The sequence below is a fragment of the Homo sapiens genome, chromosome 5 (assembly GCF_000001405.40).
Source record: "Homo sapiens chromosome 5, GRCh38.p14 Primary Assembly".
NCBI classification, from domain to species: domain Eukaryota; kingdom Metazoa; phylum Chordata; class Mammalia; order Primates; family Hominidae; genus Homo; species Homo sapiens.
In genome coordinates, this window is record NC_000005.10 from 114,474,718 (window position 1) to 114,489,955 (window position 15,238).

General features: G+C 37.7%; 1 protein-coding gene and 1 long non-coding RNA gene across 9 annotated transcripts in view; one reads left to right on the forward strand and one right to left on the reverse strand.

The window, feature by feature from the left end:
* The window catches only part of KCNN2 (potassium calcium-activated channel subfamily N member 2), a 440,519-nt gene that overhangs the window by 418,740 nt on the left and 6,541 nt on the right, over positions 1 to 15,238 (forward strand). For 7 of the 8 annotated variants that reach the window (NR_174097.1, XM_047417166.1, NM_001372233.1 and 4 more), the window contains one exon: positions 12,333 to 12,460. Coding sequence is in view for 6 of the 8 variants with exons in the window: in XM_047417166.1 (XP_047273122.1) it covers positions 12,333 to 12,460 (128 nt within the window). In the remaining 2 variants the exon portion in view is untranslated. Of the gene's footprint in view, positions 1 to 11,980; positions 12,087 to 12,332; positions 12,461 to 15,238 lie in introns of all 8 variants that reach the window. The other variant, NR_103458.2, reaches the window with a different exon arrangement.
* LOC101927078 (uncharacterized) overlaps positions 1 to 15,238 on the reverse strand; it is a 325,996-nt gene that overhangs the window by 27,300 nt on the left and 283,458 nt on the right. Inside the window, exons 5-7 of the long non-coding RNA NR_130785.1 lie at positions 14,169 to 14,314; positions 10,757 to 10,975; positions 428 to 695 (exon numbers count right to left, since the gene is read on the reverse strand). This is a non-coding gene — a long non-coding RNA (uncharacterized LOC101927078). The remainder of the gene's footprint in view (positions 1 to 427; positions 696 to 10,756; positions 10,976 to 14,168; positions 14,315 to 15,238) is intronic.

Sequence of the window (15,238 nt, forward strand, 5' to 3'; positions counted from 1 at the left end):
AAGTTTTATAATATTCAAAAGAACACTTGCATTAAGACCCTTGTAATCCATATTATTTTACCATGAAGATTATACATTTCCTCAGGAATTAAGTTAATGCCACACTTAAGATATTAGGGAGAAAAATACCTTAAAATACCATGTCGCCCATATGTTTGCCTGTAAATCTTAACAGAAAAAAAAAAAGTGACAGAATCACAAATAAGAAAGCCAAGTTAGCATGTTTGGGCAGACTTCTCCATGTTTCATAAGCAGATTTTAATTTCATCTTAAGAAGGAAGCATATAGTTTCTCTAAATATTACTTTGGAATATTGATATTCCATATCTTAATTATTAAAACATTTTAAGAGTTAGAAAAGACAAAGAGTTAGAAAAGACAAAGACTTTGAGTACAAAATTTACAGTATCACACTGCCATCTACCACCTTTGATAAAAATTTTTTTATGAAGTTCACCGAGGTCAACCAGTTTCATTTGGGAGACATTCCAAGTTGGTTTTATAGTGTAGTTGCTGTATTCCAGGGCCTCTCAACCTTGGCACTCGTGACTTTTTTGGCTGAATAATTCTTTTTCATGTGGGACTGTCCTGTGTGTTCTGGATGTTTCTCACCATACTTGACTTCTACACACTAGATGCCAGTAGCACTACCCCCAACTTGTGACAACCAGAAATCCCTCAAGAGACAAAATCACCTGCAGGAGAGAACCACCTTTTAATGTGCTGTTCCACAAGGATTTGACATCTTAGAAAGGACAGTCTCTCTTAAAAGATACTGAGTCTACTGAATATATTGTAATTTCCTTTTTTGGAATAACATATAAAAAATATACTGTATACTAAATATGGTTGTCATGCTATGTTAACTGTTAAGGATCAAGAGCTAAAGAATCACATTCGAGTATTCCAAAGATTTTAAGCTTTTCCAGTACTGACCACTCAGAAAATCAGACGAAATCTCAGATGCTTCCTGCTTGGCAGAAAAATGCACGTGTGCTTGTGCTCATGGGTCCCCTAAAGTCCGGTCAGAGGCCCCTTTAGAGAACTATGGATCCAGGATCTAGATCTATGGATTTTGGTGACCCTCCTTCAGTTTTTATGAATGAAAAGCATCTTCCCAAACTGACAAAGTTTTCTGATGATGCTACAGCTTTTTTGTTGTAAGTTCTTGTATACTTTAAACTTCCTTTGGATAATGTTGCCTGAATTGTCAACTTATTGCCTGTTGAAAGCTTTTTCATTAAGTACTGTTCTGGTTTCAAATTTTACATTTTATATAATACTTACCATGCTTTAATAATTCTGTTATTTCATTACTACTTTTTTTTTTAAATTATACTTTAAGTTTTAGGGTACATGTGCACATTGTGCAGGTTAGTTACATATGTATACATGTGCCATGCTGGTGCGCTGCACCCACTAACTCGTCATCTAGCATTAGGTATATCTCCCAATGCTATCCCTCCCCCCACCCCACCACAGTCCCCAGAGTGTGATATTCCCCTTCCTGTGTCCATGTCCAACAATGATAGACTGGATTAAGAAAATGTGGCACATATACACCATGGAATACTATGCAGCCATAAAAAATGATGAGTTCATTACTACTTTTTAAAAGTAGAACTACTTTGCAGTATTTCTTGAGACTGGAGTCTCTTGAGACCGGAGTCTCTTATAGGTCTGAGAAATATACTCTAGTAGGCTTGCTGACAGATCCATTTTTTTTTTTTTTTGGAGATGGAGTTTTGCTCTTGTTGCCCAGGCTGCAGTACAGTGGCGCAACCTCCACCTCCTGGATTCAAGTGATTCTCCTGCCTCAGCCCCCCAAATAGCTGGGATTACAGGCATGCACCACCATGCCCAGCTAATTTTTTGTATTTTTAGTGGAGATGGGGGTTTCTCCATGTTGGTCAGGCTGGTCTGGAACTCCCGACCTCAGGTGATCCGCCTGCCTTAGCCTCCCAAAGTGCTGGGATTACAGGCGTGAGCCACCGCACCTGGCCGACAGATCCATTTAGTGACATCCAAGATGTCACTAAATAAAGATATTAATGTTAAAATGACACTAGAAGAAAACAGATTGCTGGTTTATAATACCCATTCCTGTATTATATATACTCAACAAGGTATAGGCAAATAATAGCCATTTTATAGTCCTCTCATTATTTTATACAAAGTCATCAACTTAATGAGTATCATTTACTTGGAATTTGATTCCATTTGCTTATTTATGGAAATTCCAAATGGACTCATATAAATGAGTATAAACTTTAAACTTTTAAAATAATTCTAAAATGCTGAATGATTTGTGAATAATTAAAAGTAAATAGAGATCTAAAAACCATACCTAGTAACTAAGATACAAACTCAAGGTTACTACATATTGTTAGAGAAAAATACAACTATTCCCTGAAACATTATCTAGAAAGAAATCATTTTTTCTGATGGTTAACAGGAGTAATAGTCACAGATGTTCTGAAATCTGAATATGACTCTAAAGAAAAAAGCAATATGAATGTTAAAAGATAGTCTGTTCTCCCAGGAACAGATGTAACATTCCAAGTCTTCCAGTTTGTATCTTTAGTGAACTGAACAATTTCTGTGAAAAATTATTCACTATGTACAGATTTTCAGGGGAACAATTTTATATAAAAGTTGTTTCTCTGTATGACTACATTAACCAAGTAAAATACTGTATTTGAAAGTAGAATACTATTTATTGTACATCAGCACTGAGAAGATTGTTTTGTCTAATCCTAAATATTTACATGACATTCTGCAATTCAAAAATGGCCGACAGGTACATGTGTCCAGAACAAACTAATGATTTTGAAGTGAAAACATAATACCATTACCTTGTCTCCTAGTTTAGTAAGACAGGACCAGCTATTTAATAGATTTACAGTTTATCACCTTACAGGGGCAATATATTTACCATGCAATATCTTTTGGAAATATATTATTATTACTGCTCATTCCATTCTGAGCAAACAGGAAATCTTGTAGTTTGATCCCCAGAATACCTTTTTGGAAAAGAAACTTGAAAACAAGCAATTCCAAAACCCAGACATAATTTTTAAAGTTGCTAGATACCCCACAAAGGATAATTATACATATTAATGTCCACTGTGGGTGTTGTTAATCTGTTAAGAATTCTCAATCAGATCCATAATAAGAACACTATTATGCAGTTATATAATTTTGTTTCCTGTATGTCTCTTAACAAGGGAACAGAAATTCTAAAGGATTTATTTCACATTGTCCTTGGCTCACAGCCCAGGGGGTTAACACATTAAAATGAATCACTTGGCTATGCCCTGTTCCACAGCTACAACATTCACCCAGGCCTCATACACCTGACCTAAAGGAAAACTGGAGAGAGAGGTTGGAGCATGAACAAATCTATCCCTGCTGCTGCAAGGGTGGTTGAGAGCATATGGCACCCTGGTGCATTCCCCTTGAATTGGCGAGGAGTGGAAGTGTTATGCTAAAAAAGCCTCTGAGAAAGCAGCAGGAGAAAAAAACAACAACAAAGAAATGGAAGTTGAAAATGAAGATCCAAAATAGCCTTTTAAACTATGTTGTCATTACCTATATGCTATAGGTTTGAACAAAGCAAAGTTTTAATGAAAAGAATGAATGAAAAAGAGTGAACAAAACCTCCGAGAATATGGGATTATGTAAAGAGATCAAACATACAACTGATTGGGGTACCTGAAAGAGATGGGGAGTATGGTACTAAGTTGGAAAACATACTTCCGGATATCATCCAGGAGAATTTCCTCAGCCTAGCAAGACAGGCCAACATTCAAATTCAGGAAATGCAGAGATCTCCAGTAAGGTACTCCACAAGAAGGTCAACCCCCAAGACACAAAATCATCAGATTCTCCAAGGTCAAAATGCAAGAAAAAAAAGTTAAGGGAAGCCAGAGAGAAAGGCCAGATCACTTATGAAATAAAACCCGTCTGACTAACAGTAGACCCCTCAGCAGAAATCCTACAAGGCAGAAGAGACTGGGGGCCCATATTCAACATTCTTAAAGAATTTCCAACCTAGAATTTCGTTATCTGGCCAAACTAAGCTTCGTAAGTGAAGGAGAATATAAGATCCTTTCCAGACAAGCAAATGCTGAGGGAATTCATCACCACCAGGCCTGCCTTTCAAGATCTCCTGAAGGAAGCACTAAATATGGAAAGGAAAAGCCGTTACCACCCACTACAAAAACATACCAAAGTACATAGACCACTGACACTATGAAGCAACCAAATAAGCAACTCTTCAAAATAACCAGCTAGCATCATGATGACAGGATCAAATTCACACAGAGCAATAGTAACCTTAAATTTAAATAGGCTGAATGCCACAATTAAAAGACACAGAATGGCAAGCTGGATAAAGAGCCAAGACCCATCAGTGTGCTGTCTTCAAGAGACCCTCTCATGTGCAGACACACACATAGGCTCAAAATAAAGGGATGGAGGAAAATTTACCAACCAAATGAAAACTATAAAAAAAAAAAAAGAAAAACAAAACAGGGGTGGAAATCCTAGTTCCTGACAAAAGAGACTTCAAACCAACAAAGATTAAAAAAAGATGAAGAGCATTACATAATGGTAAAGGGTTCAATTCAACAAAAGAGTTAACTATTCTAAATATATATGCACCCAATACAGGAACACCCAGATTCATAAAGCAAGTACTTAGGGACCTACAAAGAGACATTGACTTCCACACAATAATAGGAGACTTTAATACCTCACTGTCAGTATTAGATAATTGAGACAGAAAATTGTAACAGAGATATTCAGAACCTGAACTCAGCTTTGGATCGAGTGGACCTGATAGCAACAGAATACACATTGTTCTGATCGCTATGTGGCACTTAATGTAAAATTGGTGACATAATCAGAAGTATAACACTCCTCAGCAAATGCAAAAGAACTGAAATCATAACAAACAGTCTCAGACCACAGTGCAATCAAATTAGAACACAAGATCAAGAATTTCACTCAAAACCACACCACAACTACATGGAAATTGAACAGCCGGCTCCTGAATGACTCTTGGGTAGATAATGAAATTAAGGCAGAAATCAAGAAGTTCTTTGAAACTAATGAGAACAAAGAGGCAACGTAGCAGAATCTCTGGGATGCAGCTAAAGCAGTGTTAAGAAGGAAATTTATAGCACTAAATCCCCACACCAAAAGCCAGAAAGATTTCAAGTTACAACAGAACATCTGGAGAACCAAGAACAAACAAACCCCAAAGATAGCAGAAGACAAGAAATAACCAAGATCAGAGCTGAACTGAAGAAGACAGAGACACAAATAACCCTTCAAAAAAAAATCAACAAATCCAGGAGCTGGTTCTTTGAAAAAATTAAAATAAATAGATAGACCACTAGATAGACAAAGAAGAAAAGAGCAAAGAGTCAAATAAACACTATGATAAGGGGGATATTACCACTGACCCTACAGAAATACAGACGACCATCAGAGAATGCTATTAAACACCTCTATGCATATAAACTAGAAAATCTAGAAGAAATGGATAAATTCCCGGACACATAATACCCTCCTACGACCGAACCAAGAAGAAATTGAATTCCTGAATAGACCAATAATGAGTTCTGAAATTGAGGCAGGAATAAATTGCCTACCAACCAAAAACCCAGGAACAGATACATTCACAACTGAATTTTACCAGAGGCACGAAGAAGAGCTGGTGCCATTTCTACAGAAACTATCCCAAAAAATCACAAAGGAGGGACTGCTCCCTAACTCATTCTATGAGGCAAGCATCATCCTGATACCAAAATCCGGCAGAGATACAACAAAAAAAGAAAACTTCTAGTCAATATCTCAATATCCTTGGTGAACATTGATGAAAAAATCCTCAATAAAATACTGGCAAACTAAATTCAGCAGCACATCAAAAGCCTTATCCACCATGATCAAGTTGGCTTCATCCCTGGGATGCAAGATTGGTTCAACATATGCAAATCAATAAATGTGATTCATCACAATAACAGAACTAAGGACAAAAACCACACAGTTCTCTCAATAGATGCAGAAAAGGCCATCAAAAAAATTCAACATCCCTGCATGTTAAATGCTCTCAATAAACTAGGTACTGAAGGAACATACCTCAAAATAATAAGAGCCGTCTATGACAAATCCACAGCCAGTATCATAATGGGCAAAAGCCAGAAGCATTCCCCTTGAAAACCAGCACAAGATAAGGATGCCCTCTCTCACCACTCCTATTCAACATAGTATGGGAAGTTCTGGGTAATCAGGCAAGAGAAAGAAAGAGTATTCAAATAGGAAGAGAGGAAGTCAAATTACCTTTGCAGATGACATGATCCTTTATCTAGAAAACCCCAACATCTCAGCCCAAAGCTTCTTAAGCTGATAAGCAACTTCAGCAAAGCCTCAGGATACAAAATCAGTGTGCAAAAATTGCTAGCATTCCTATACACCACCAACAGGCAAGCAGAGAGCCAAATCATGAATGAACTGCCATCCACAATTGCTACCAAAGAATAAAATACTTAGGAATACAGCTAACAAGGGAAATGAAGGACCTCTTCAAGGAGAACTACAAACCACTACTCAAAGAAATCAGAAAGGACACAAACAAATTGGGAAACATTCCCTGCTCATAGATAAGAATCAATATCATGAAAATAGCCATACTGCCCATGCTCATAGATAACAATCAATATCATGAAAATAGCCATACTGCCCAAAGTAATTTAATAGTTTCAGTGCTATTCCCATTAAACTACCATTGCCATTCTTCACAGAATTAGAAAAAAAACTATTTTAAAATTTACATGGAACCAAAAAAGAGTTGGAGTTGCCAAGACAATCCTAAGCAAAAAGAACAAAGCTGGAGGCATCATGGTACCCAACTTCAAACTATATTATAGGGCTACAGTAACTAAAACACCGTGGTAAACTGGTACAAAAACAGACACATAGACCAATGGAACAGAAATGAAGTCCACACACCTACAACCATCATGATCTTCAACAAACCTGACAAAAACAAGCAATGCAGAAAGGAGTCCCTATTTAATAAATGATGCTGGGAGATCTGGCTAGCTATATGCAGAAAATTGAAACTGGACCCCTTCCTTACAGCTTATACAAAATTAACCAAGGTGTATTAAAGACTTAAATGTAAAACCCAAAACTATAAAAACCCTAGGAGAAAATCTAGGCAGTACCATTCAGGACATAGTCACGGGCAAAGATTTTATGACAGAAATGCCAAAAGCAATTGCAACAAGCAAAAATTGACAAATGGGATCTAATTAAACTAAAGAGTTTCTGCACAGCAAAAGAAACTATTGACAAAGTGAACAGACAACCTACAGAATGAGAGAAAATGTTTGCAATCTGTCCATCTGACAAAGGTGTAATATCCAGAGTCTACAAGAACTTAAACAAATTTACAAGAAAAAAATACCCATTAAAAAGTGGGCAAAGGACATGAACAGACACGTCTTAAAAGAAAACATCCATGCAGCCAACAAACTTATGAAAAAATGCTCACCATCACTGGTCATTAGAGAAATGCAAATCGGAAACCACAATGAGATACCATCTCACACCCATCAGAATGGCCATTATTAAAAAGTCAAAAAACAACAGATGCTGGCCAGGTTGCGGAGAAAGAGGAATGCTTTTACACTGTTGGTGGGAGTATAAATTAATTCAACCATTGTGAAAGACATTAAGGATGACAATTAAGGACCTAGATGCAGGAATACCATTTGACCCAGCAATCTCATTACTGGGTACATACCCAAAGGAATATAAATCATTCTATTATAAACATATATGCATGTGTATGTTCATTGCTGCACTATTCACTATAGCAAAGACATGGAATCAACCTAAATGCCCATCAGTAATAGACTGGATAAAGAAAATGTGGTACATATATACCACAGAATAGTATACAGCCATAAAAAGGAACAAGATCATCTCCTTTGCAGGGACATGGATAGAGCTGGAATCCATTATCCTCATCAAACTAATGCAGGAACAGAAAATCAAACACTACATGTTCTGACTTATAAGTGACAGCTGAATGATGAGAATACATGGACACATGGTGGGAGGGAACAGCACACACTGAAACCTTCTGGAGGAGGGGGTAGGGGGAGTGAGAGCATCAGGAAGAATAGCTAATGGACGCTGGGTTTAATAGCTGGGTGATGGAATGATCTGTGCAGCAAACCACCATGGCATGTGTTTACCTATATAACATATCTGCACATCCTGCAAATGTACCCCAGAATTTAAAATAAAATTTGAAGGAAAAAAAAAAAGTCTAGCAGCCTCAAGTGCTTTGGTGATCTGTAAAGTACTATTATACTTAAAAATATTTTGTATCTTACTACCCATGGTTTTATTATTTTATAATTAACCGTGAGTCGCAATATAATATCTCCTGGCCTGTATACTTGTGAAAGTTGTTTTTAAGGAATCTGGGTAAGTACTACCACTAACAATAATGTAGTAGTAGTGTTTCTTTCTTTCTTTTTTTTTTTTTTTTTTTGAGAGACGGAGTCGCTTTGTCACCCAGGCTGGAGCACAGCAGCGTGATCTCGGCTCACTGCAACCTCCACCTCCTGGGTTCAAGCGATTCTCCTGCCTCAGCTTCCCAAGTAGCTGGGACTACAGGCATGCTCAACCACGCCCATCTAATTTTGTATTTTTAGTAGAGATGGGGTTCCACTAGATGTTGGCCACGCTGGTCAAAAACTCCTGACCTCAAGTGAGCCACTCATCTCGGCCTCCCAAAGTGCTGGGATTACAAACATGAGCCACAGCACCCAGCCAGTAGTAGTATATATTTTAGAGCCTTTGCTGTTTCAAATTATTATAAAAATTATTGATATGTCTTCTAACATTTTTCTGACAGACTTTGATTACGGTTGATTACTAGTGAGGCAGAGCAAATGTTCTTATTTTTCAACTGTGTGTGTGTGTGTGTGTGTGTGTGTGTGTAAAGATGTTCCTGTTAACAAAGATCCTTCCCCCCACTTTACTTATTTTTTGATAAACAGAAAATGACTTTTATTTCATAGGTCTTTTGGCCTGTTTATTGGCCATAGAATTATTATACCTACTAAATGTTTGATGGACATCGGTAAATCCTCTCATACCACTTATCACAGTATCTAGCATGTAGTAGAGATTCAGTACGTAGGTTGAATTTGTAAGTGGAAATGCATTGATCCATTTAGAGCTTAGATGAAGCAATAATTCATCCATTATATGAATCTGTATACCCTTGTTATCAAGAGGGTCCTTTGGTTGATAAATACGTGTTAGTGTGGTTCATGAGAAGAAGTTTTTATGTATAAATTATATGTGCTGTGGTGCCCAGTTAACACCATAGACATTTATTTAGTACGAGCTGTGCCTAAAGCACTGAGGTAGAGAGACACAAAGATTAGTGATATGACCCCTGAGAGTTTCTGAAAGCCCTGGAAAGGGGACAAAAGGGCATTCAAGTGTTACATAACTAGATGGTTATATGGCAGGGTTCTTGACTGAGGATACAAAGGAAACTTTCCCTCCAAAGATGGGAGGGAGGTTAGGGATAGGAAATTACTTAACGGGTACAATGTATACTATTTGGGTGATTATTACACTAAAAGCCCAGGCTTCATTACTACACAATGTATTCATGCAGCAAAATTGCACTTACACTGCCTAAATTTATATAAATAAAAAAAATGAATGCATAGACCTATTTCTCCCCATTTTTCCTGGAAGTTTACATATCACTTTCTTTTGCCAACTCCCCATTGTTCAAATGTGGAAAACAATGAGGTGCCTTTGACCCTGTCTTCTCACTGTCCTCTGTTCCTTTTCAACCCTAGATGGAAAGGAAGACCCTACTATTAGAAACACATCTCAGTAATAGGCAGAGAGTGGGATTTTTATTCTGGGACATATTGTTTTGTGGCTGCCATGTTGAAAAGTAGCAGTTAAATATGATGCCTTAGGAGGTTTGTTCCTGTATTTGACAACCTATTAGGGAATTAGAAAGGGGATGGGATGTTTCAAAATAAATTCCTGTATTTAGAAGTTTTTAAAAGCAGCTGCAGGGATTTCATTTTCAGATGAGGAATCATTTTCATTTAAGCCCATCAGCTAAAATGAGTGCTTAGTGAATAGAAAGCCTGTAACATAAGGCCTCGAGGGCATTACCCCCACTCCACTGAACTCTGAGATTAAGATTCTGTATTCCCCTTCAACCACTTTCTTCATATACCCAAGAGAAGGAATCATTTAAAATGCATCGGTCACCTTTTTAAAAGCGTATTGACTTTAGAAATAATTTGGCATTTGCTGTTTGTAGATGGGAATACAAATTGAAATCAAGTGCTATGTTCTACATTGAGGATTGCTATGTTCCATTGCTGTGTTTCTGACCCATTGGTTTTTACCTAGGGTTTTTAACTGGTTTTCCAGCTTCCTCACCAGGCAGGGATCTAGGCTTCTCCTCTATGCCTTCGACTGGTAAAATCAGAGAGAGAGCCTCCATCAGGGCCCCTTGCCAATCTTCCAGGTATCTACAGTTGCTTAGAGATCTGAGACTCTCTCTTTCCTCACAGGGAAAGGCTATTCCAACCCCAGGGACTGCTGGCCAGTCACTTCCCACTCCTCTCTCCTTAAAAGCAAGGTCCTCAAATAACAACTACTCATGCTGCACTCATTTCCTTACCTTTGAAAGGACATGAGGATCAGATGAAAAAAGCTTCTGAAAGGTGGCTCTCCCGGCTGTCTGAGGAAGTGGAAGTATGAAGATGGATCTAAGAATTTACTCGAACTCCTTTTAACTTCACTGTGGATGGTGGTAGTGTTACTTATACGCAGTGCTGGCACTTGGCTTCTGTGTCAATCATTTTTCTGTTGGTTTGAGGATTCTCTCCATGCACAGAGTCTAATAGATATCCAAAGGCAGTGCATTACAAACCAGAGTCACTCCTAAAAGAAGCTTTACTGTAAAAAGACCATTTTCTTAAAATGAGTTGTAGCAATATAATGTTGCTCAAAAAGAAAACTTTTTCACTCCATGAGAAAGATTCACTATCAGTTACCAAACCTGATGTTTTCTTTGCTAAAGTGAAAAATATAAATACAAACTTGGGCCCATAGTTTAGTGTAATTCTAAAGCTCATCCTTATTGTAAATCTAATGATTGAGAGAACTTTAACATTCATTATCTCTAACTTTCTGATGTTCCAGAAAACTGCAGTCCTATGAGGTTAGCTAATCACTTCAACCTGACTTGGTTAGTGCAAAGTCAAGTACGTAGAACCCGGTTATCAATCTCAGCTCATTGTTTTGTCTTCCGCACTACACTGCCTTTCTTAAAAAGTTATCTTCCTCCACCTAGCACCCCAGTAACCTGTGGCTCTCTTTGTGAAATATCCTTTTTCCATCACTTAAAAGAATTAAATGGAACAACTTCTTATAGTAAGTAATCCAAAAGCCCAAGTGAAAGCTGTGGGTCATCAGATCCCATAGTGTGAGCAAGGAAGAAGACAGAATCTGCCCTTGCTGGCCCTTTATCAGCTCCCAGGATTTGTTGAAGACTTTCATCAAGAAAGCAAGTGACTAGATTAAGTATCCATGCCTTTCATCAGCTGCTGTAGGTCTTGGCAGTGTTACTGCAGTGCTTTCACCCTTCTCATTTGTCCCATCCATTTGAAATACAGTGTACTTAAATTTCCAACAAAATCATAACGTAGACTCCGTCAGTTAATTAAAGTATACTAACAAGCATACAAATTGCTAAGTCATTCTGGGAGGCTATCAGTGCTGGATGTACTTATACATTCAGCACTGGAAACATGCCCTTCCAGTAGTGCACAGCCAGAAATACCAAGCAGGCTTGCAAAGGACAAGATTAACCTTGGCCTCATGGTATTTTGTCTTTCTGCAGGGAAAGGAAGATCATGGAGACAACAATTGCAATACACGGTGGAGAACTCAACACCCCTTGATTAAAAAAAAAAAATAGTTGAATAAAAAAGAAGTTTCCTGAAGGAGTAAGATAGAATTTACCACAGAAAGAAAGTGGTAGTATCTCCCTATTTCAATTTAAGTGTTGTTCCCAGGCAGGTACAAGTACTTCTAAAAAGGCATAGATTAAAGAAAAATGGTATTTGGAGTCATGGTTACTAAATGAAGCTACAGCTCACCATGATCCTTGGGATGAAGACTATGACCCCCAGCAAAGTTACAAAGGATTCTGCTCTGGAATTTATCAACTGCTTTGTTTGTTCTCTTAACAGGTAAAAAATGCAGCTGCCAATGTACTCAGGGAAACATGGCTAATTTACAAAAATACAAAGCTAGTGAAAAAGATAGATCATGCAAAAGTAAGAAAACATCAACGAAAATTCCTGCAAGCTATTCATCAGTAAGTATCATTTTTCATTTTTATCCTGTTGTTGTGTCCTTGGCTTTCAATTTTTGCACTTGTTTATTCTTGTTTCATAAGGAAGGAAAAAAGAAAACATTGTCATGTTTATTCCCAGAAGATGTTATCTGGCAATCTAATCATTCCACAATAAGATCCTGAGAATAACCTCAGTTCCTTTAATGATTAAAAATCACTTATTAGTACTAGAATATTTATTAAAATATCTTCTCAGTTTCTTTTTAGAATAACTTCTGCTGAAATTGTATTTCTTAATTTGACCTATTTATTCAGATAGTTTGCTCTAGGATTTTTTCAGCTTTATTTTCTAAACATAGCTTCAAACATATTTATATGAAAGTAGTGCATATAACTGATTTAGTACTTGAATTTTAAGTTAGTTTTTAATCAGAATTTTGGCTGTGTTCATTTTAAATTTTCCAGTTTGTGTAGACCTTTTACTCTCTTATCATTATTTTAACTTTATCCAGACCACTATTATGGTTTAAGTCCTTCGTTCTGTTCCATTGTTATATAATTAGCATACGCTTTTAAAGTAACAATCTATATCTAGTAAGATGCACTGATAATTTGAAAGCACAGGATCTTTCTCCTCCGGGCTGGCATAATCCTTACTGTAAGTATTATTCATGTGGGTATCGATTGTGATGCCATGCAGACTTGCTCTTAATTCTATATGGAGAAGAGCAGATATGGTCACATCTGTGGCTCAGAAAAGTAGCTTTCCTTATGAAACCTACGAGGGTAGTAATGGAAAGGTGGGTAAATACAAGATGCTTTGGCTATCCAATGAGATTTGTCTCTCAGAGCCAACTAGTATAACAGGCAAGAAAACTCAGAGGCTGCAATTTTTATTTTGCATGTTCAGGTAATTCATATGTAATATGGTACCACTAACATTCTATAGGAAATTACTAAGCATTCATCTTCTACCCTAGAATACAAAACCTGTCCATTGAACTGCCCTGCTTAAATAGATATCACTGAAAATGTAGAATATGTAATTCTGGACAGATTCATTCTTCCATAGAAATTAAAACTCAAGTATCCTGAGATTTATAGTAGAGGCAGGCTCTGCACGTATGGTAGAGTATCTGGCCTTCATTGCTACTCATGGTCTTTCCCCAGCTTTACTAACACACTTTCCTAAGATAGTGATGCTATTTCCTCTGTAGCTCAGTGACTTGACACATCACTATGCTTTTTCTCCCTTTGTAAGGAAAACACAAGGTTAGAGTTTTCAAATAATACTCTTAAAATAAGGAAAAACACAGAAAGGAACATTATATTCCATCTGGCTCACAAGAGGGAACTTGCTCCCTAGACTTACAGTTACCCTTATAACCCAGAACCACCATCCAGGAGCCCTTGCCTAGAAATCTTGATTCCTTGAAGTTTAGATTGAAGAGAATGAGAACCCTCCCTTTCTCCCAACCCAGAGATGCTGAGCTTTCGCCTCTGTGTTCCTTAACCTATTTTCCTGTGGAACAGGCATCTTCCTCAAGGCACTCACCTCACACAACTCTCCTATTAGAGTGGTCTTCCCCTGCTAAAACCATACTACACAGTAACCCCAACACATTCATACAGGAGGTCCAGAGGCCATACCATGCATGGCAAAATCATTTTTTCTACCTTTAATATTTTGGTATTAACCTATATTTAGTATGTTAAAAAGAAACCTTACCTTGGTGCATGTGAGAAGGTATGTATGTCCAGGGTGGAAGGGTATGAGATGACACGGCAGTGAGCAAGTGTGGTCGGTCTGTGTTGAGCAGCCACACATCCCATTGCCTCCAGGATCTTATCTGGGTCCTTTCCTGTCAGTCAGACCTATCAAATGGGTAATTACATGTGATTTACCTTTAATCAATTTTCATATAATAACAAATCCAAGAAAATGCTGTGATAGTTTTTATAGTACGGTTCTGTAGCCATGTGCAGTGGGGATTTGTATTACATCTTGTAATATAAGACTCTTCTGGACTATTATGTTCAGAATACATTCACATTCAAAAGCCTGGGGGAGAATTTAGGGGTTTTTACCGTAAAATGCTTTCAACTTTGCCGTTAGGTTATTACGTTTTTACATTAAAACATTAGAAAAAAAGTATTTGGGGAAGTTTAAAAACTGTCCCTAAGCAAGTTGCAAATGCACCCTACAAGGCATGTCGGCCCTTTCTTAAGGGTGGGTACTGTGGAGTCGCTTGCACGGGGTCTCTTAGCATATTGTGTTTGGATAGAGTGACAGAGGAAGCTACTTGTGATTTTTCTGCTTCTGTCAGATATTTCTTATTCTGTTTCTTCTGTAGCAATGTGTACTTCTAAAGTAGATAAGCTTCAGGCAACTCAGAAATGCTCTGAATTGCTTTATAAATTCATCTAGGGGTTACCGGGTTTCCATTACAGTGGGGGACATTTATACTTCTAAAAGTGTAACTGAGTACGTTTATTCATGCAAGCTTTGTTTGGCTAGATCATTCTAATCATGCATACTTACCTTTCATTTTAGCTTAGTGTTGGAAGTTAGGGAGTGAAGTCATAGGGGAAGCACACAGGGCTCGATTCCTAAGGGCAAGGCTTCCATTGCCCACTGTGCAGATCCAGTGAGACCCTCGGCCTTATCTGTCGGCACTGGGTACAATCAGACCTTACTAGCTGAAGAAAAATGTTAAAATTCATTCGATAGATCACTCCTGGCCTCTCCTACTCTCTGATTTATCCTGAGCACTTTTTCAGCAGCTCTCTGCTTCTACC